This window comes from Homo sapiens, chromosome 1, assembly GCF_000001405.40.
Source record: "Homo sapiens chromosome 1, GRCh38.p14 Primary Assembly".
Lineage (NCBI taxonomy): Eukaryota > Metazoa > Chordata > Mammalia > Primates > Hominidae > Homo > Homo sapiens.
This window is the reverse complement of record NC_000001.11, coordinates 26,726,096-26,745,666: the sequence shown is the minus strand read 5'-3', so window position 1 is coordinate 26,745,666 and position 19,571 is coordinate 26,726,096. Positions and strand designations below refer to the sequence as shown.

Here is a 19,571-nt window from a genome sequence, read left to right as displayed (position 1 = left end):
TCATTTACTGAATGACCCTGGACAAGTCTCTTGCCCTTTCTGGGCCTTAGGTTCGTCATATGTAAAGTTGGGGGTGGGAGGGGAGACGGGAATGGGGTGTCAGTATTGTAAATATTCTGTTGGGCTAGTTCATGCAGCCTCCATTCTATTCTTTCTCTAATTGTAGAGGTTAAAAAGCTTAAAAACGAAATTTCCAAGAATCCCTTGGTTTTGGATACAATTCAGCTTCTGCTAATGAGAAGCTGACTCATGAGATTAGATCAAAGTAAGCAGAGACCATATTTCTGTCTCCTTTACTTGTTTCTGCAGGAGCATTTTGGTTCCATCCTCCACTTAACTGGGTGCTGGTTCTGGCGGCAGCAGCTACTGCTTCTTGATTCCAGTTTACTGATTCTGGACCACAGGTTTAGGGGTATGATTCAAGAGCAATCAATCTAATAGTAGCTCCGAGATAGACGTTCCCCTGGTAGGTCAAATCTAGGTTAAATCTGGGTCTGGTTTCTTGGAGGCCAAGCCTAGAGCAAGCTCCCTCACTCCTTCCAGTTGTAAGCCCAAATTCCCTATATTAAATCTCTCTCTTTTAAACATAGCTAGACCTAGGGTCCAGTACAGAAATCCTCTGACTCAGTATTATCAAATGATCCCAAAAGAGTGGCTGTAAAGGAAGAGAAAAAAGATTTATTCACGAAGCATATTTTTTGTAGGAAATGGGCAAGAGGGGGGAGCCTTAGGCCTTTAAATACATTTGTCCAGGACAACCTCCTTCACTTCTTCCCTTTTTACAACCTCACTGTACTTTCTCTCTCTCACCCTAAGCTCTGAGGGGGTGGGTGGGGGGTTTGAATTGCTCACACAGGATGGAGGGTTGAGTCAGCACACGCTTTCTTTTCCATCCCTATGTTTTCTGCAGCCTGTTATTCTGCTGAGGATGGCATAACCTGCCCAACTCAAAATAAGTATCACCTGGGCTTCAGGGAAGCTTGGGCCAGAGAGGATACCAAGTGTCTTCTTGAGTAGTAGGAAATACATTTAAAAGCTCCAGGTACAAAAGAATCAGGACATACCAGTCCCGATAGCTCTGTGTACTAATAAGTGAGGACAAGTTTGGCCCAACTTAACTTCCTACAGCAGGGCTGACGACAAACTGAAAAACAAGGTAAAATTCAAACGGTGTGCTTAATGGGGAAGAGGTACTTCCAGCCAGACCTCTGTAGGACTAAGTGACTCAAGAGCCATCATACTAGAGTTAAGGCTCAGTTGCTTTTCAAAGATTGAGGCTGTTCCGAAGGAAACAAAAGGTTCCAGCAAGAGGAATCTGTGTGAGACACACAGGCAGGAAGCAGAGCTGAGCCACCAGCGACTAGAATAGAAACAGGAAATGGGCCCAGGAACAAGCATACAGTAATCTGCTGCAAGCAGCACAGGCTCAGGCAGTCAGCAGGCAGTATCAGGGTTGGAACAGTGTGACTAAGATGGAGAAGCGGATTGGCCAGTCCAGCCCAGAGAACCAGCGTTCTAGAGAAGGGATGGCTACATGCACAGGGTACATGCTGCTCTTAGCAGTCTGGGCAGATATGACAGAGGGGGTGGGGATTTCCTTTTCGAGACTCTGAGAGAGCACCTGGGCTATAATTCAAGGGGAGCAGGCACAGATACATGGTCAGCTATAAAGAAAACAGGTCACCAACCTCAGAAAGACCCTGCTTCTCTGGTTACCAAAATCGCTAGTGACATTTCTGTTATCTTTTTGAAAATCAACCATCAAAAACCTAGATAAGGACTGTGGGCCCTCTCTCCTTCTATCATGAAATGAACAAAAGGGAACAGAAACTGTGTAAAATTAAAATCCTTCAAATGTTTTAATTTTTTTTTTTTTTTTTTGAGATGGAGTACTGCATCCTCTGCCTCCCGGGTTCAAGCGATTCTCTTGCCTCAGCCTCCCGAGTAGCTGGGACTACAGGCCCCTGCCACCACACCTGCCTATTTTTGTATTTTTAGTAGAGACAGGGTTTCGCCATGTTGTCCAGGCTGGTCTTGAACTCTTGACCTCATGATGACCCGCCTCAGCCTCCCAAAGTGCTGGGACTATAGGTGTGAGCCACCGTGCCCAGCCAAATGTTCTAATTTTTAAAGCATTTATTGAGAGGATTTGTCACTCCTCTCAATAAACCTAAACAACAAAACGTCAGCTCCCAAAGCTCAACTAGGTAGCAAGAATCTAGGAGGTATTCAACAAAGGTTTACAAATATCTGCCTGTTCTGGGCACAACATGACAGATGTCAGATACAGTTCAAGCAGAGGTACCAGCATAAGGCTATGCCAATATGAAAATGGGGAAGAAGTCTCAGAGAGAGTATTCCAGCTAGGTTTTGAAGCCAAAGTAGAAGTTTGCTGAGCATGACAGAAAGAGAGAGAAACAGGTATACATCCTAATCAAGAGGACCAGGAATTGTGAGGAGCTTAAGGTACAAATGAGTGGCTGGAGATGAAGTTGCAGAGGTATGCTGGGAGCTGTGGATGGCTCCACTATGGGTTCTGAACTGGGTAAGGCACTGGGAGCCAGGGTCCCCAAAACACGCACGAAACAACTGGTGGTGGTCTCCCACACTCAGAGATTACTTAAATATTACTGGATACAATCTGTAAAATTTATGACGTTCCAAAGCCCCAGCTTGATATTTTTTATATTTCTTTTTTTGAGACAGTCTCGCTCTGTCACATAGGCTGGAGTGCAGTGGCGCGACCTCAGCCCACTGCAACCTCCGCCTCTCGGGTTCAAGGGATTCTCCTGCCTCAGCTTCCTGAGTAGCTGGGATCACAGGTGCATGCCACCACGCCCAGCTAAATTTTTATATTTTTAGTAGAGATGGAGTTTCACCATATTGGTCAGGCTGCTCTCGAACTCCCGACCTCATGATCCACCCGCCTCAGCCTCCCACAGTGCTGGGATTACAGGTGTGAGCCACCGTGCCTGGCCTACCAGCTTGATATTTCATTTGAAAATTTTACTCTCAGCTCTCAGGGTCTCTGTGCTTCTAAACCATTAGACACATGAATCACTTAGAGATCTTATTAACAGTTAGATCCAATAAATCTAGGATGGGGCCTGAAAATCTACATTTCTAGCAAGCTTCCCGGTGATGTTGGTGCTTCTAGACAATGGACCACACTGAGTAGCAAGGATCTAACTGATTAAAGTTAGCACTGACCAGGACAGTATGTTCTAAGAAGACAGACACAGAACAGGGCTTGCTCTCATCCCACACAGGAACCAAATAACCAAACTCTAGTCAACGGTTCACTGTTTGAGGCGATTCCCTAGTTGGCTAGTTCCTCCAAGCAGGTCCTATAGGTTTGGCTATCTTTCCTACCACTCGCTCTTTCCACAGCTCATCTGTGCCTCCATCACAGGGATGTCTGGGAAAACAGAAGTAAAATGGAAATCCATTGACATTCCTTTTAGGACAAGTCTAGCAAATGCTAAATGGCAAAGAGTTGAGTTTTTTGCCTAAAAATGAAGAGAGGATCAGATTGTCCATGTCTTTCCTCTACTGGGTGGGATGCTGGAGGAAATATTTCACCTGAAATATCAGAGCTAGATTCAAATCTTGATTCTGACCCTTGGTTTTTCATATGTAAAACAGGAGTGGGTATTCTGTACCTTCCAATTCCTATCTTTTCAGAATAACTGATGTTGACTGTAGCTCCTTGCCTGGCCTTACTCCTGCCCTCTAAAATCTGGATTCTACAGGGACAGCATAGCTCCCTCGCATTTCCTCTTTCTAGACCAATGTAATTCCAAGATCTCAGCGTCTGAGAGCATTACAGAAGTAAAAATACGAAGGGTAATAGCTAAGATGTTAAGTGAAATCTAAAGAATGGCTCAGAAACTCAAGGGATAATTTGATAGACATTACAGATCCTAATTCTGTTCTCCACCTCCCTCCTGATATCGATAACATTCACTCCTACCTAACCTGAGGAAATGAGTATGATCCAATCTTCAACAACAGTCTTTAAGATTACCTTTTTTTCAGCCAAGGGTATAGCGTCCCTTAGAAATTAATCCAGTGGATGCCTTTGATTCCTTTTTCTCACAACTCCAGAAAGATGTGCCTGTTTATACCCTCCTAATATTCTGCCAGCACCTTCACTTTTCCCTCTTCCATCTGCCTTATACACATGCGGGTCTTTGGGATGAAGCGGAGGAATTGGACTGATTCAGCCAGACTCTCCTTTTTCTCAGTGCATTTCAAGAGTGCTCTTTCCCTTTCCCTTGCTCATTTCCTTTTCTCAAGCCCTCAGAAATAAGGCCTTTTCCTTATCTAAAAAGGATCCCAATAAAATGCTTTATGACAAACCCAACTACCTATTTTCTTTGAAATATAAATTTGACTTCGTCCCTCCTCCCTTGGCTTCCAGAAATATTACACAATCCTGGTCCTTCTCCGATCTCTCCAACTCTCTGTTGGCTGCTTCTACCTGATGGCCTCCGGCATCGTCCAGAGCTCCATCTGGCTTCTATCTCTAAACTCCAGTTTAGGAGGCCTGTTTCATTCTATGGTTTAACTATTAACTACCACACAGGTAACTCGCAAACTTGTATCCAGACTCAGGTCTTACCCAAGTTTCAGTTTCTTATCTCCAACTAGAAACTGGACATTTGTTTTCAGAAATCTTACTATATTATATTCCACAAAATAAATATGGAATTTAACTTTTCCTCAAAAATGAGACTCCCCCTGCCCACCAGTCAATCAAAATCTTTAAATATTCCACCACACAGAACCCACTTATTCTCAGTCCTGTATTCTTTCCTGCATGTTCCACATGTGGGAGCAGGTGGCTATGCAAATGAGACAGAAGGACCAGAACTCCATACCTCTTGCCAGAAGTAGTTCTACGGTTTAACTTATTCCACTGCTTTAAGACTCTCCCGTTTTCAAAGCATACTACAAACTAATGGATCATTTTTGTAAAACATTAGTTTTATCACATGATTGCCCCAGTTACCTATCTGCAAGCCCATAAGATCAGATCTAAATGGCTTAAGCTCAGCAGGATCCCTGTGATCTAGCTTTCCTTCCTGTTACTTCCCACCCCTGGAAGCTGACCAGCCCCCAAGTATCTATACTGCACCTCATCCCCATCCCTGCATGGCCTCTGTTCAAGCTGGACTTTCCCTTTGTAACTAACCACTTAAATACATCCACATCTAGCTCATACTGACTGAACTTCAACATGACTTCTTCCTTCAACTATTGAGACATAAATGGATCAGTGACTTCACCAAACTCTGACAGCACTCATTATAACATACAGGCACATGGTCTTCTGTTTTATGTCTATTTTACTAATGAAACACAGGAGGATCCTTTAGGAATCATCGTATCATATTCGGAATCATGGACCCAAGAGTTCAAATGACCTCAGAAGTCACACAAGTTCAACCCTTGTCAAATGTCTGTTTGTCTTCTACATAACACCCATAGCAAAAAGTGTGCCAGGTTTTACTCCAGGGACAGGAAACTTACCTACATCTCTCCTCATCCTCCAGATCCCAAAAAAACTTACTTGTATGTCACACTTGGACTTAAATCTACAGACAACACGTAGCCAGGTTTTAAAGCATTAACATAACTTGGCCAGGTTTTTTTTTTCTTTTTTTTTTTTTTTAAGATGATCACTCTGGTGATTATGCTGAGGACAGACTTGGAAGGAAAAGAGGAAGAAAAGAAACAGAACAGTCAGAAGTTTGTGGCAAGACACCAGGTGAGAGATAACAGGGACCCGAAAAAACAAAAGGCAGTGGAGAAAGAGAGGGGAAACCAGATTCAAAAGCAAAAACCATTTCTGTGGTAGACTAAGATTTGGTGACCAACTAAGTTTGGCCCCACTAAAGGAAGGGATCCAGTGATGAGCACCATAGAGCAGAGGAGCTCCCAGGGTGGTACTGGCAGGGCAAGGGCTCCGTTACCCAGGAATAAACTGCACTGAGGCCACAGCTACAGGAAGTCTAGTTTCTTTCAAGTCTCTTTTCTTTCTACCATTCTTAACCCACAGTGTGCCTTCCAAATAATCAAGAGTCAAACTACAGTGTAAATCACCACTATTATTCTAGTTACCGCTGTGGCTTCCTAGTCTAGTAATTTTTTTTCCTTCCCTTAAAGGTGACTACCTACTTCAGTCTCATTCCAATTGTGGTCTTCTGAACTGGCAGCATCTGTACCACTTCAGAGCTTGTTAGAAATGCAAATTCTTAGGTCCCAGCCCACACCTACTGAATCAGAATTTCTCAGGTAGAGGCAGTAATTCAGGTGATTCTTAACACACGCTAAAGTTTGTGAAGCACTAGCTAACCTCTTCAGATCACAGCTTTCAATCCTGTATCCATTTTCCATTACTCTATCCTAGGTACACTTTCAAGACCAAAATGTAAATTTACAAATGTGTCTCAGTAAGAAAAGTTACAGAAGCTGGGCCGGGCGCAGTGGCTCATGCCTGTAATCCCAGCACTTTGGGAGGCCAAGGTGGGTGGATCACAAGGTCAGGAGTTCAAGACCAGCCTGGCCAAGATGGTGAAACCCCATCTCTACTAAAAATACAAAAAAATTAGCCAGGCGTGGTGGTGGGTGCCCGTAATCCCAGCTACTAGGGAGGCTGAGGCAGAGAATTGCTTGAACCCGGGAGGCGGAGCTTGCAGTGAGCCCAGATGGCACCACTGTACTCCAGCACTCCAGCCCTCCAGCCTGGGCAACAGAGACTCTGTCTCAAAAAAAAAAAAAAAAACAAAAGAAAAGTTACAGAAGCTGGGCGCAGTGGCTGACGCCTATAATCCCAGCACTTTGGGAGGCTGAGGTGGGTGGATCACTTGAGGTCAGGAGTTCGAAACCAGCCTGGCCAACGTGGTGAAACCCTGTCTCTACTAAAAATACAAAAACTAGCCGGGAGTGGTGGCGCACACCTGTAATCCCAGCTACTCAAGAGGCTGAGGTAGGAGAATCGCTGGAACCCGGGAGGCGGAGGCTGCAGTGAGCCAAGATCGTGCCACTGCACTCCAGCCTGGGTGACAGAGCAAGACTCTGGTAATACAGTCAAGCTGCTCCTGTCAGATGTATACTTCCTGAATGAGCACTATAATGGATGCTGCTCAGGTTCATCTATTCAGTAAGTTGGAGCCTACTATATGCCAGGCACTATGGCAATAAGCAACCAGATGCCAGGCACTATGGCAATAAGCAAGACAGCAAGTCAGTCCTCAATGAACTTGCATTAAATAAGTAATTTAAATTACACTTGAGATAAGTACTAACAAGAAGTATGGGTGCTAAGAATTTACTATAGGCTGGGCACCGTGGCTCATGGCTGTAATCCCAGCACCTTGGGAGGCCGAGGCGGGTGGATCACCCAGGTCAGGAGTTCGAGACCAGTCTGGCCAACATAGTGAAACCTCGTCTCTATTAAAAATACAAAAATTAGCCGGGTGTGGTAGCGGGCGTCTGTAATTCCAGCTACCTGGGAGGCTGAGGCAGGAGAATCGTTTGAACCCGGGAGGCGGAAGTTGTTGTGAACTGCGATTGTGCCACTGCACTCCAGCCTGGGTGACAGAGTGAGACTCCATCTCAAAAAAAAAAAAGAGTTTACTATAGCAAAGGAACCTCATACAGTCTGGAATAGATCTCTACCTGCAAATCGGGATTCACCTGGGACAGCTGCTAACCACACCAATGCCCAAACCCCACATGAAACAAATCAGAACTCTGTGAACTCTGGGCATTAATTTTTTCTTTTTTTTTTTTTGAGACGGAGTTTCGCTCTTGTAGCCCAGGCTGGAGTGTAATGGCACCATCTTGGCTCACCGCAACCTCTGCCTCCCAGGTTCAAGCGATTCTCCTGCCTCAGCCTCCCTAGTAGCTGGGATTACAGGCGTGTGCCACCATGCCCAGCTAATTTTGTATTTTTAGTAGAGATGGTGTTTCTTCATGTTGGTCAGGCTGGTCTCAAACTCTCGACCTCAGGTGATCCGCCCACCTCAGCCTCCCAAAGTGCCGGGATTACAAGCGTGAGGCACCGTGCTCGGGCCTGGGCATTAATTTTTAAAGATAATACACTCCCCTGGGTAATTCTAACATGCAGACACAGTAGAGAACCACTGGTCTTGGGCATCACATGATAGGTACTGGGGGCACAGAGGTCAATAACACAGTGCCTGCCTTCCAGGAACTTACCATTTAAGTAAGTAGAGTCAGGCCAGGCAAGGTGGTGCATGCCTATAATCCCACCACTTTGGGAAGCCAAGGCGGGCAGACTGCTTGAGCTCAGGAATTCGAGACCAGCCTGGGCAACATCGTGAAACCCCATCTCTACTAAAAAGTCCAAAAATTAGCTGGGCATGTTGACTCACACCTGTAGTCCCAGCTACTCAGGAGGCTGAGGTGGGAGGATCACCTGAACCTGGGGAGGTGGAGACTGCAGTGAGCCGAGAATAAACCACTACACTCCAGCCTGGGTGACAGAGAGACCCCCATCTCAAAACAAACAAACAAAAAAAAAGCAAGCACAGGTAGAGGGCATTGGCAAAATGCTCTGTCAAATACAGGATGGTGCTTACCAAGAGGGATAAGTGATCCCAGAGAGCTATATAAAGTTTTACCTGTGTTAGCAAGGCTTGATTTCTACAGATGGGTACTCAGGTACTGAACTGTTCTTTATAGTTTTTGTAGGCCTTATATATTGTGCAGGGTTTTTTTTTTTTTTTTTTTTGAGACAGAATTTCACTCTTGTTGCCCAGGCTGGAGTGCAATGGCGTGATCTTGGCTCACTGCAACCTCTGCCTCCTGGATTGAAGCAATTCTCCTGCCTCAGCCTCCCGAGTAGATGGGATTACAGGTATGCACCACCACGCCTGGCTAATTTTGTATTTTTAGTAGAGACGGGGTTTCTCCGTGTTGGTCAGGCTGGTCTCAAACTCCAGACCTCAGGCGATTTGCCCGCCTCGGCCTCCTGAGCCACTGTGCCCTTTTTTTTTTTTTTTTTTGAGACAGAGTCTCTCTCTGTCACTCAGGCTGGAATGCAGTGGCACAATCTTGGCTCACTGCAATCTCCGCCTCCCGGGTTCAAGCAATTCTCCTGCCTCAGCCTCCTGAGTAGCTGGGACTACAGGTGCCCGCCACCACGCCCAGCTAATTTTTGTATTTTTTAGTAGAGACAGGGTTTCACCATATTGGCCAGGCTGGTCTCGAACTCCTGACCTTGTGATCCGCCAGCCTCGGCCTCCCAAAGTGCTGGGATTACAGGTGTGAGCCACCGCGCCCAGCTATACTTTTTTTTTTTTTTTTTTTTTGAGATGGAGTTCACTGTCAACTAGGCTGGAGTGCAGTGGTGTGATCTCGGCTCAATGCAACCTCTGCCTCCCAGGTTCTAAAGTGATTCTCTTGCCTCTGCCTCCCAAATAGCTGGGACTACAGGTACCCACTGCCATGCCTGGCTAATTTTTTATATTTTTAGTAGAGACGGGGTTTCACCATGGTTGCCAGGATGGTCTCGATCTCCTGACCTCGTGATCTGCCCGCCTTGGCCTCCCAAAGTGCTGGGATTACAGGCGTGAGCCACCACGCCCGGCCTTTTTTTTAAAGGTAAAATAACAATGGCCTTTAGTCAATGAAGTCATCATAGAAGTTATTTAAGGTGCGTCTTGAAGCTTGATTAGGTAGTAGTTTTCTGAAGGAACAATCTTTAAGATATAGTCTGAAAGATGAACAGGAGGAGTTGAGGGGAAAAGTATGAGGCAAAGGGAAGGGTGTGTGCAAAGGTCTGAAAGCAAAAAATAGCATATGGTGCCTTAGAGAAACTGAAAGAAAGCCAAGAGCAAGGCAGAGAAAAAAGAATAAAGTAGAGGTTCTCAAAGTGCCATCCCTGGTCTAGCAGCAACAGAATCACAGAGGAACTTGTTAGAAATGCACATTCTTGGGCCCCACTCCAGACCTACTGAATGAGAAAGACACAGGGGATGGGAGCTGAGAGGGAACAGCAATCTGTGTTTCTGATGTCTAACATTAAAGATTCTGGATTTCAGGCCGGGTGAGGTGGCTCACGCCTATAATCCCAGCACCTTGGGAGGCCAAGGCAGGTGGATCACCTGAGATCAGGAGTTTGAGATCAGCCTGGCCAACCTGGTGAAACCCGTCTCTACTAAAAATACAAAAATTACGTGGGCGTGGTAGAGGGCGCCTGTAATCCCAGCTACTCGGGAGGCTGAGGCAGGAGAATCACTTCAACCTGGGAGGCTGAGGTTGCAGTGAGCTGAGATCGTGCCATTGCACTCCAGCCTGGGCAACAGAGTGAGACTCAGTATCCAAAAATAAATAAATAAATTAGTTGGGCGTAGTGGCGAGCACCTGTAAACCCAGCTACTCGGGAGACTGAGGCAGAAGAATCACTTGAACCCAGGAGGTGGAGGCTGCAGTGAACCAAGATCGTGCCATTGCACTCCAGCCTGGGCAACAAGAGTGTGAAACTCTCTCTCCCCCCAAAAAAAAAAAAAAAAAAATTCTGGATTTTATTCTAAGATTAACAAAAAAATAATTGAGAGGTTTAAATATAGGGATAACATGATCAGGATAATAGCACCCAAATGGCTTGGCATCAATAACTGAGCACAGACTCCTCAAAATTTAATTTTTGTAATATTCAAGGGTCACAATCATAATGCCTTTAGGGCCAGGAAGGTAACGTGAATGAGTAAGGAGAGCAATGTGAAATCTGAGGGGCTGCTCTCCAGCCAGCCTGGAATCTGCTCTGGTGCCAATAGGTACCTCATAAACATTTGTTTAGTGAAGCAATGCACTGGCAAACCTAGGGATCCTTTAACACGACTGGTTAAGAAAGGAGAGGGCTCTTGTAGGGAATCCAACTTGTCATTTCTTCAGATGGGGCTGCTTCCTAGCCTGCGTAGGCAAATCTGGCATCAAACCAAAATTTCAAAGAATAACCACTTTTTGATGCCTGCCCAAGTAGCAAAGGGATAAAAAGCAATTCAAAAAACAAGATGCCAATAACCCAGCCAGCTTACCTCCCACATGGAGCTTCTACCACTGAGCAAATGACCCATTTGGATGAATCTTTAGAAAAAGCCCAAACGTGGGAATGTTCCTTGTGATAGCCTTCCCAGGAACAACCATCCCCTGGGCCTAAAAGGCTGCCAACACCTTCACCTTCACTTCAGTGGGTCAGATAAGAAGTTCTTAAGATTCCCAACCCTTACAAGGCATGTAGCATCTCTGGATACAAGCCTTCTCAGGACCAAAAAAAAAAAAAAAAAAAGAAGCCAAATACAGATCTATCAAAAGGTCACCAGAAGCAAGCAAAAACTTTTTGGAATGAAGCAACTTACAGCACTGACAGAAATCCACCGATTTGGGTTCTTGACACAATAGCACCTCACCCAGATTTAGCCACAGACCACAGATGATGAGGGAGTGGTTACACATTCTGACTGAATCAGGTTAAAAAGCACATTCCAATGAAGTTCAGGATGCAGAAAAGGATTGCAACAGACACTAATGAGAAGGGAACAAAGAGTGATCACTTTATTAAGGCACTTCCTTCCCCCAATTCCTCAGTTGAGAAAGTCAACAATCTCAGACGTCCTATCTGCATTCTGGCCTCAGAAGCCTGAACACCAGGTACTAAGGGACTCTGCAGACCTTGCCCTATTGAGGTGTCTCAGAGACCTTCAGGGGAATCCATGGGAGGCTTCATGATGAAGAGAGTTCCCGCCTTCTGCCTATTTCTTAGAGATCCTGAAACCATTTCTCTCAGGTCAGAATAAATGAAGACACAGGCTTTACATCCAAGTAGAGTCAAAATTCCAAAAGATTCTTATCTGGGTATGTGGCTGAATTTCCATTTCCTAACTGAAGCAGGATTTGTCATGGTGGGTTTGCTACCCACCATCTTACTAGATGACTAGATTTCAGAGTAGCCTATTTTATTTCTGTGCCCAGCAGATTAACTTTCAGAGGCTGAGTAACTTGCCCACAGAGCTAAGACTAACAGTAAAGGTTCCTACAACCACCTAGTATGGTGTTAACTGCCTTTCAGGTATAAAGCACAGTCCCAATGCCCTCTGAGGCGATGATTACAAAGGCTGACATTTATGGAGTGCCTACAATGTGCAGTGCTCGTGTGCACTCTCTAGTAACCTATTTAATGTTCACCACCACCCCTATGAAACAGAGTTGGTGGCAGAAGCTAGAGCCAGGAACTCTGGCTCTAGAGCCCAAGTTCTTAATCACTAGACTATACTGCCTGTCTCAGGATATGGTCAGTCCATCCCATAAATAAGTACCTGATTCCATAACTTAAGCACCTGGGCATCAAGTACTCTACCAAAAATAAAAAAAAAAAGTATTCACACAAAATCACCACCAGAAAAACTGCTTTTGCTCCAGCCACGCTCAATGTGACAATGCATGCTGAATTGCTCCAGGATCCTACCTTGTAGCTAAACATTAAGCCAAAAACCTAAAAATTAAGCCTGTAAGAGTAAAGTCAAGAAACTGATATTTTTCTCAACTTTGATGGAGAGCAGACAGTGCTTCTGATATCTCCATCTTCTCTGCCCCTCATGTGGGTCCATGTCTAAAAGCACAAGACTTAAAAAGACAAAAACAAACTAAACAGATCACAAACCTATTCCCTGGGCAGGGAGACAGAACAGACATCTACAAGTCAGCCTTTAAGTTCCTTGAATTCAAGAAATAACTTATTCATTTAGGTCAAAATTAGCTAAACTTCCAACCAGAAACTAACTAGTTTGCATTGGTTTCCTCTCTGCCCCTATCACCTTTCAGAAGGTGCAGAAATACTCACAGGCAAGCTGGAGGGTCTTGACTGAAGGCTCAGGTTCATATCTTCTTGCCCTCCCTTACTGGAGGTCATTGAGGGGGCTGAGGATGCCTGAGACCCAAATGAATCTTGAGATAGCTCCTACAACAAGAAAAACAAAAGCTGTGATGGCCTGGTATTGATAAACCAGGCAGGCTTACTTCACTGTGAAAGGGTTATGGGACTGTCTCTCATGAGTGTGAGAGAAAGTCCAGTTGCGAAAAGTATTATGTGAAGGCCAGAAAAATCCAAGCTGTGACTGGTAAGAATGTCAACAGTGGACTCTTTCTGACAGAATTGTCACCCATTTATTGCTGCCTACAGAGGGCTGTTTCTTGGGGTTAAATGCTAATGTCTGGCCAACTTCAAGTTAAATCTATCAAGGAATGAGACCAATGAAACCACAAAAAAATCATGCTAGAACCTCTGCATTAAAATGAGTACTGCTTCATTCAAAGACATCACCTTGGGATGAGATATTTATTCCAACAGTGCCACCAATACATAAACTTTTTAGTGGACCTGTCATCACTCAGTCATCTCTTTTCTTTGGGCTCTACAAAAATAAAGCCCCAAATGCTATTTTAGGCTCTATTACCTACATCTTGTTCACCAGACATAACTCCAAATGAATTTTTGCTATTTCCCCAAACAAAATCCACCCACAAAAAATAAGATTTGCCACCACTGAGAGTATTCTAAAGAATGTGGTATCAGCTCTGGTGGCAATTCCAAATGAAGGGATCCAAGTATTTTGAGCGATAGCAGAATGGAATGGCAGTTGGAGTGAATGTACAGTACTGCCTCTCAAAGTGACTGTTTTGAAAAAAGACCAACTCACTTAGATGCTGAAGTTCTGATGTTGATTTACAAAATAAAATAAAATAAAATAAAATAAAAAAACCAGTCCCATTATCTTTAATTTCTTATCCATCTATGCAACTTTCCATTGCCCTATTTCTTCATCATTAAGGAGAGCTACAGGTCTTTATGCAGTTAAGGAGGTTATGCCTTTATTAGTTCAATCAATCCAGTTATCATGTTTACCCAGAGTTTAATTGGTCTTTAAGTGCACGTTAGAGAACCACTCTGTACAGCAAAGTTCTCATGACACTAACCCCCAAGCTGTCTGTAGTCACACACAGGGAAGGGCAGGAGGCAGGGATATCTTACCTGCGGTGGAGGGAAGCGCTGCTGGGAATAGGCAGTTTGCTGGGACTGCTGAGACTGGGGCTGAGGATACGCAGCCTGCTGGGAGAGCGTCGAGGGTGCTGGCTGCTGAGGTTGCTGCTGCTGGTAAGGAGACTGAGCCTGTGGCTGTGAGTAGGGGGGCTGGCTCTGGGGGTGCTGCTGTGTCGTCGACTGCTGGGAGGGGTATGGAGCCGGGGACTGCTGATGTGGAGGCTGGGATGGCTGCTGGGAGTATGGAGGCTGAGAGGACTGGAGCTGTGGTGGTTGAGACTGTGGCTGCTGCTGATACGAAGGTTGGGCATGAGGGGTCTGGGACGGTGGTTGCTGGGAGTAGGGTGGCTGCTGCTGCTGAGGGTGAGGACTTTGCTGGTTGTAATATGGAGTCTGGCCCTGTTGACCATACCCGCTGGGGCCTTGTTGTCCATAAGGAGGAATCTGTAGGAAAGGAAAATATACTTTTAGCACTGACTCTCCTGCATGAGGAAAGATGAAGTGTTTTGTGAGAAGCTATGCACTGATGATGAGTATAGAAAGCAAGCATGCAAGGCCTCATACTTAGGAGGCCCAGGGTTTTTCTCTCACCCTGCCTAAACTGAGCCAGGAAGGACGGCCAAGCTGGGTTTTTAGGTGGTTTGTTTACAAGTGGACTACATTTATCCACTGAAAATTTACACTATTTACTATTTGGGCAACATAAGTTTGAGAGCAGCTGTTTCTACCAGTGAGCCTAACTCTTTTTATCACGGCCTAGACTGTTTTTATAAGTGTTAGGAATCTGTACCCTAACCACAATGAATAGTCAATAGCAGCCTGGCTCAACCAACTGAAAACCTAAGGTTTAGTAATTCAGACAGTGTGAAAATCACTAAGCTACTTTGGTTCTCTCTTTCATTTAGTTTTCATTCAAAAAAAATATTTGACAGCCTACTCAATTACTTGTACCAGGCACTATTTTAGGCACTGGGGATATATTTAGTAAGCAGGCAAAAAAATAAAAAAAATAAATAAAATTACCTCATCTCTCCTCTATTGGAAAAAAGAGACAATTTTCTATATTAAAGGCGTACTTTGCTTTAAAGTCTTAGAAGTAAAATTTGTTTTATATTCTCTCCCTATTTTCAGTATGAGTATCACTCAAAGATAAATGATAGAAAACTTTGTCAATACAAAAATGACAATAAAGAGATAATGATGTGAATGGTTCGACAAAAAGAGATGGATAAGGGGAAATCTTAACATTTGTATCAATGCTGTTAACATCTTTTCTGTTTAATCTTCCCCTTTTCTTCTACTCCCAGTCACATTCATTTTGAACCAGAAGGCAGATATGTTAAAGGTATTCAGAAGCATAAAGGGCCTCTTCCGTCACCAGGGCACATGATATGAATGGTTTTCCTAATAGTAGCAGTGCCTACATGTTCAGCCACTGCCTTTCATCCCATCTCATTCAGAGATGACCACTCACTAGGTATAAGCTGGCCAGTCAGGTCAAGAGAAAAAGAGATACGTACCTGTGACCAGGGAGTAAGTAGTTTTCCTTGGAGCACACATGGAACGGTGCCTATAGCTTTGGCTTTGTTAGTAGCACTCTGTAATTAACTGAGCCAACAGGTCTACATTCCTGTCAAGAGGCTTGGAAGCCAAGGATACATTCTGATTCTATAGCTCACAGATCAGATTTTGGACAGCAACAAGGGTCAAGGTAATCACAATCACCATCTACCTGCTGTGTATAAGAGAGGCCGCCCATGGCACTCTGCGCCCGGCCCTGCATGGTCATCGGGTACCGCTGCGGGGTCTGGGACCCGTATGGCTGCCCTGGGTACCCATGTCCTTGCTGCGGTCCTGACGGAGGTCCCTGTTGCTGCGAGTATGGGTTAGTCCCGCCATATGGCTGAGGTCTCATCTTGCCCATCTGATCCATTGGACTGGATGGCTACAAAATAAAGAGCATTTCATTAACCTGAGCTTTGATGGCCTCTGGCCACTGAATATATAACCCAAGTACACAGGTTTTTTTAGTCTGTATGCTATAAAGAAATACAGTTACTTTGAAAGAGCAATGAGACCAACCTAGTAACCTTTAAGTCAACTGACCCGCCTCAGAACCCTAATTTTGTCATTTGAAAAATGAAAATACCACCTATTTGTGAAAACACCTTGTAAGCTAAAAACTACTTTGTAACTGTGGTACTGCTTGAGATCCAAGGGACAGGCCGGGTATAAACAAAGGCCCTTCAGTTGGTAGAGGACGGTGCTGCTATGCACTGCCATCACCTTGTTACACACCAAAATTGATGCTTCAATACCATGACGGGGAATTCAAATACACAAACATCTAGATGTTTCTATTCTTCCAATAGTGGAAACTCCCCTTACACATCTATAGCCTGTTTGCACTATGGCACAGTTAAATTTATGCTTTCTTCCAAATAAGCAAAGCAGCTAAGTGACAGTTGAGGGAATGGGAACTCTGAATTAAGAGTCTTGTGCATCTCAACTGAAAAGCTCATTTCCTTTAATATTCAAGAGTTTGAAGATATAAGAAGAACAGAACTTTTATCTCTTTGAGAGACAAGAAGATTCAATGGTAGGCTGTCATGGAAGTTAAAAAAAAAAGAGCAAGAAGACAGAGAGGTACAGCTAGCACCAATAATGAAAGCTCAAAATTCAATTCACAGGTATTTGATGCAACAGCTTTCTTTCCAGCTCTTTGTGGAGCAACAGGTTCAACCAGCTCATTCACTTTTTGATATGCCTTTATCCTACTGGCACTCCAGAGCACACTTTCCCCTGCCAGAAATATCTACCTATATCTATTGGTGGTGTGCGGGGAGGGGGAAGTTTCTCTAAGCACCTTTAAGACACACACAAGATGGAGAGTAGGCATGGGTCTGATATAAAACTTAAAAACTAGCTCTTACATTGGGGGTGAAATAGATACTGATACTCTAGGCCTATCATTAACCGTCACATGAAGGAGTTCAGTGGTTCATTGATTTTAGCATGCATCAGAATCACTTGAAAGGCTTGTTAAAACAGACTGCTAGAACCCACCTCCCAGGACTGGTCTAGGTTATCCCTAGGGTTCCTTCCAGTTCTATTATTCAATAATTAATAAGCTATTCTATAATTTAAGCTGTTAAGACCTTAAACAACAACAAAACCTCCAAAATAAAGGAAGGGGAGATCCAAACAATTCGTTCTCTGTACGTGTTTGTTTTTTAATAATGCTATTAAGTGTTTTATAGTAGAGGAAGTAGAGCTTTCATGAAAGAAAACAGGTAAGACAATAAGCCACAGAGGCTGTTCTTCTTAATATCAAAGGGAAAAAAGAGAAGCAGAGTTATTTCTTAGGCTATATCTGAAATCTCAGCTAAATTGGTGAGTGATGATGGGAATACTCCTCCCCCATGTTTCTAAACTGTACAAAGTCATAGTAAAACTGTGTCCCAAATCACTACTACATGTCAATATTATTAAAGTACTGTTGCCAACAATCCTAACTAAACAATTTTTGCCCAAGTCTTTCATCCATATCAGAAGCTCCAATAATGTTCCCTATCATAATTTTAGAGCTACATAGATTTTAGGGTTACTTAGGAAGTTCGAATTTAACAACAATTAATAAATAGCATACGGTCCTCCCCAATACACCTGGCAATGGAGCCAAAACATCACCATTCTCCCCTGTAAAGAGCTTGGGGGCTTACATGGCCATATCATGCCACATATCACACTGAGGTCCTCATCTCATCACAGACTGCAGCTGCTGTCCATGTGGCCTCCAACTGGAGAGACTATTTTGTTGAACAAAGAGATCAGCCTGCTCTGGGTATCTCTGTCAGTCTAGGTCTCCCCACAACATGAGGGGCAGTCATTACCATGGTTACTATAGAGCTTCTAGAGCAGTAGCTATTAACCAGGGCTGCAGATTAGAATTTTCTGTGAAGCTTCACAAATGGCTAGGCCTCTCCCTAGAGATTCCAATTTACTGGGTCTGGAAGGGCTTGTGCTCTTCTCCAACCTCCTTAAGATCTTTGAATGAGTCTGGTGTATACTATTAGCTAAGAACCAGTGATCTAGAGAAGCACTGGCCAATAACATTTTCTGTGATGGGTAACTATTCAACACTTGAAATATGACAAAGGAACTAAATTTTTATTTTTATTTACATTTAATTAATTTAAATTCACATAACTACATGTGGCTAGTGGCTTATTATGTTAGAGCAGTTCTAGGACAATGCTGTTCCCAAATCACTTCCACCACTCCCTGGTCAATAATAGTTCCAAACTTCCTAACTACTAAATCCTGCACAGTATTATTACATAGAGGGTAGTGTAGTAATTTGATAGACTTGGGTCCAAATCCTACCTCTCTCACCATCCTACCTTGAACACATCAGTTCTTTAAATGCACATAACACACTTCACACAGTGCCTGGTATTTAAATGTCCAATAAATGGTAGCGATTATCAGTAATGATAAAACAGTGCTTTTACCTGGCTCTAAAGCCCTCTACAATGTGAACCAGTTTTCCACATTTTTTCAGTCTCACTCCAAGATTCCCCACATACTGTACATGCCCAGCTCTATGCAATGGCATCCTGCCCTGCCCTCCTGTCCACAGTGGCTTCTAGTAACAGAAACTTGACCTTTCAAAATGAAGCCACTTCCCATATCTTCAGTACACTTTGATCTCTAACATTTCTAAATGCCCTATTGTAAATCCAGTTAGCATCCTAAGATTTAACACTTAGTTGCAGCTAACTATTCCAACTAACTGATTGCATTTCTCAAGACTAACTTCTGGGAAGCCAGAGATCAGGTGTTTTATCTTCAAAGCTCTCCCAAATACCAAAGTACAGAGCTTGGGCTCAGTGACTGTTCAATGTGCAATGCTGTCCTATTCCAAAAAAGGGTAGGAGACACTATGGGGACAAAGCCCAAATCAAACTATCTAGCCATAAAGCCAGGGTCATAGCCTAAATCTAACCCTAACACAGGGGTTATGACTTTGAAGGTAGAAAAAAAGTTGGACTGAAGTGAAAGATGAGAAAGAAGGATGAGAATATTCAAGGGAGAACAAGCACACTTTAAGAATAACCTGGCTGGGCGCAGTGTCTCACGCCTGTAATCCCAGCACTTTGGGAGGCCAAGGCAGGTGGATCACTTGAGGCCAGGAGTTGGGAGACAAGCCTGCCTAACATAGCAAAACCTCATCTCTACTAAAAACACAAAAATTAGCTGGGTGTGGCGGCACATGCCTATAAGTCCCAGCTACTCGGGAGGCTGAGGTATGAGAATCACTTGAACCTGGGAGGCGAAGACTGAAGCGAGCCGAGATCGAGCCACTGCACTCCATCCTGGGCAGCAGAGCAAGAGTCTGTCTCAAAAAAAAAAAAAAAACAAAAAAAAACAAACCCAAGGCTGGGCGCAGTGACTCATGCCTGTAAATCCCAACATTTTGGAAGACTGAGGCAGGTGA

The 19,571-nt window shown here is 44.1% G+C and overlaps 1 protein-coding gene across 2 annotated transcripts in view, besides 3 other annotated features; it reads right to left on the bottom strand.

Annotated features, from left to right (window-relative positions):
- Positions 1-19,571, bottom strand: part of ARID1A (AT-rich interaction domain 1A) — an 86,090-nt gene that overhangs the window by 36,438 nt on the left and 30,081 nt on the right. For both annotated transcript variants that reach the window (NM_006015.6, NM_139135.4), the window contains exons 2-4: positions 15,804-16,016; positions 14,063-14,515; positions 12,875-12,991 (exon numbers count right to left, since the gene is read on the bottom strand). In NM_006015.6, coding sequence (NP_006006.3) covers positions 12,875-12,991; positions 14,063-14,515; positions 15,804-16,016 — 783 coding nt within the window. The remainder of the gene's footprint in view (positions 1-12,874; positions 12,992-14,062; positions 14,516-15,803; positions 16,017-19,571) is intronic.
- Positions 1,267-1,336: an enhancer, noted in NCBI's record as "active region_517". NCBI's record gives its function as "activates an Ori minimal core promoter by ATAC-STARR-seq in GM12878 lymphoblastoid cells {active_cell/tissue: GM12878}" and the evidence as "EXISTENCE:reporter gene assay evidence [ECO:0000049][PMID:35858748]".
- Positions 5,932-5,981: a silencer, noted in NCBI's record as "silent region_490". NCBI's record gives its function as "represses an Ori minimal core promoter by ATAC-STARR-seq in GM12878 lymphoblastoid cells {active_cell/tissue: GM12878}" and the evidence as "EXISTENCE:reporter gene assay evidence [ECO:0000049][PMID:35858748]".
- Positions 13,686-14,215: an enhancer, noted in NCBI's record as "H3K4me1 hESC enhancer chr1:27057943-27058472 (GRCh37/hg19 assembly coordinates)". NCBI's record gives its function as "activates a minimal SCP1, AML or CMV promoter by ChIP-STARR-seq in naive H9 embryonic stem cells {active_cell/tissue: H9 hESC(naive)}" and the evidence as "EXISTENCE:reporter gene assay evidence [ECO:0000049][PMID:30033119]".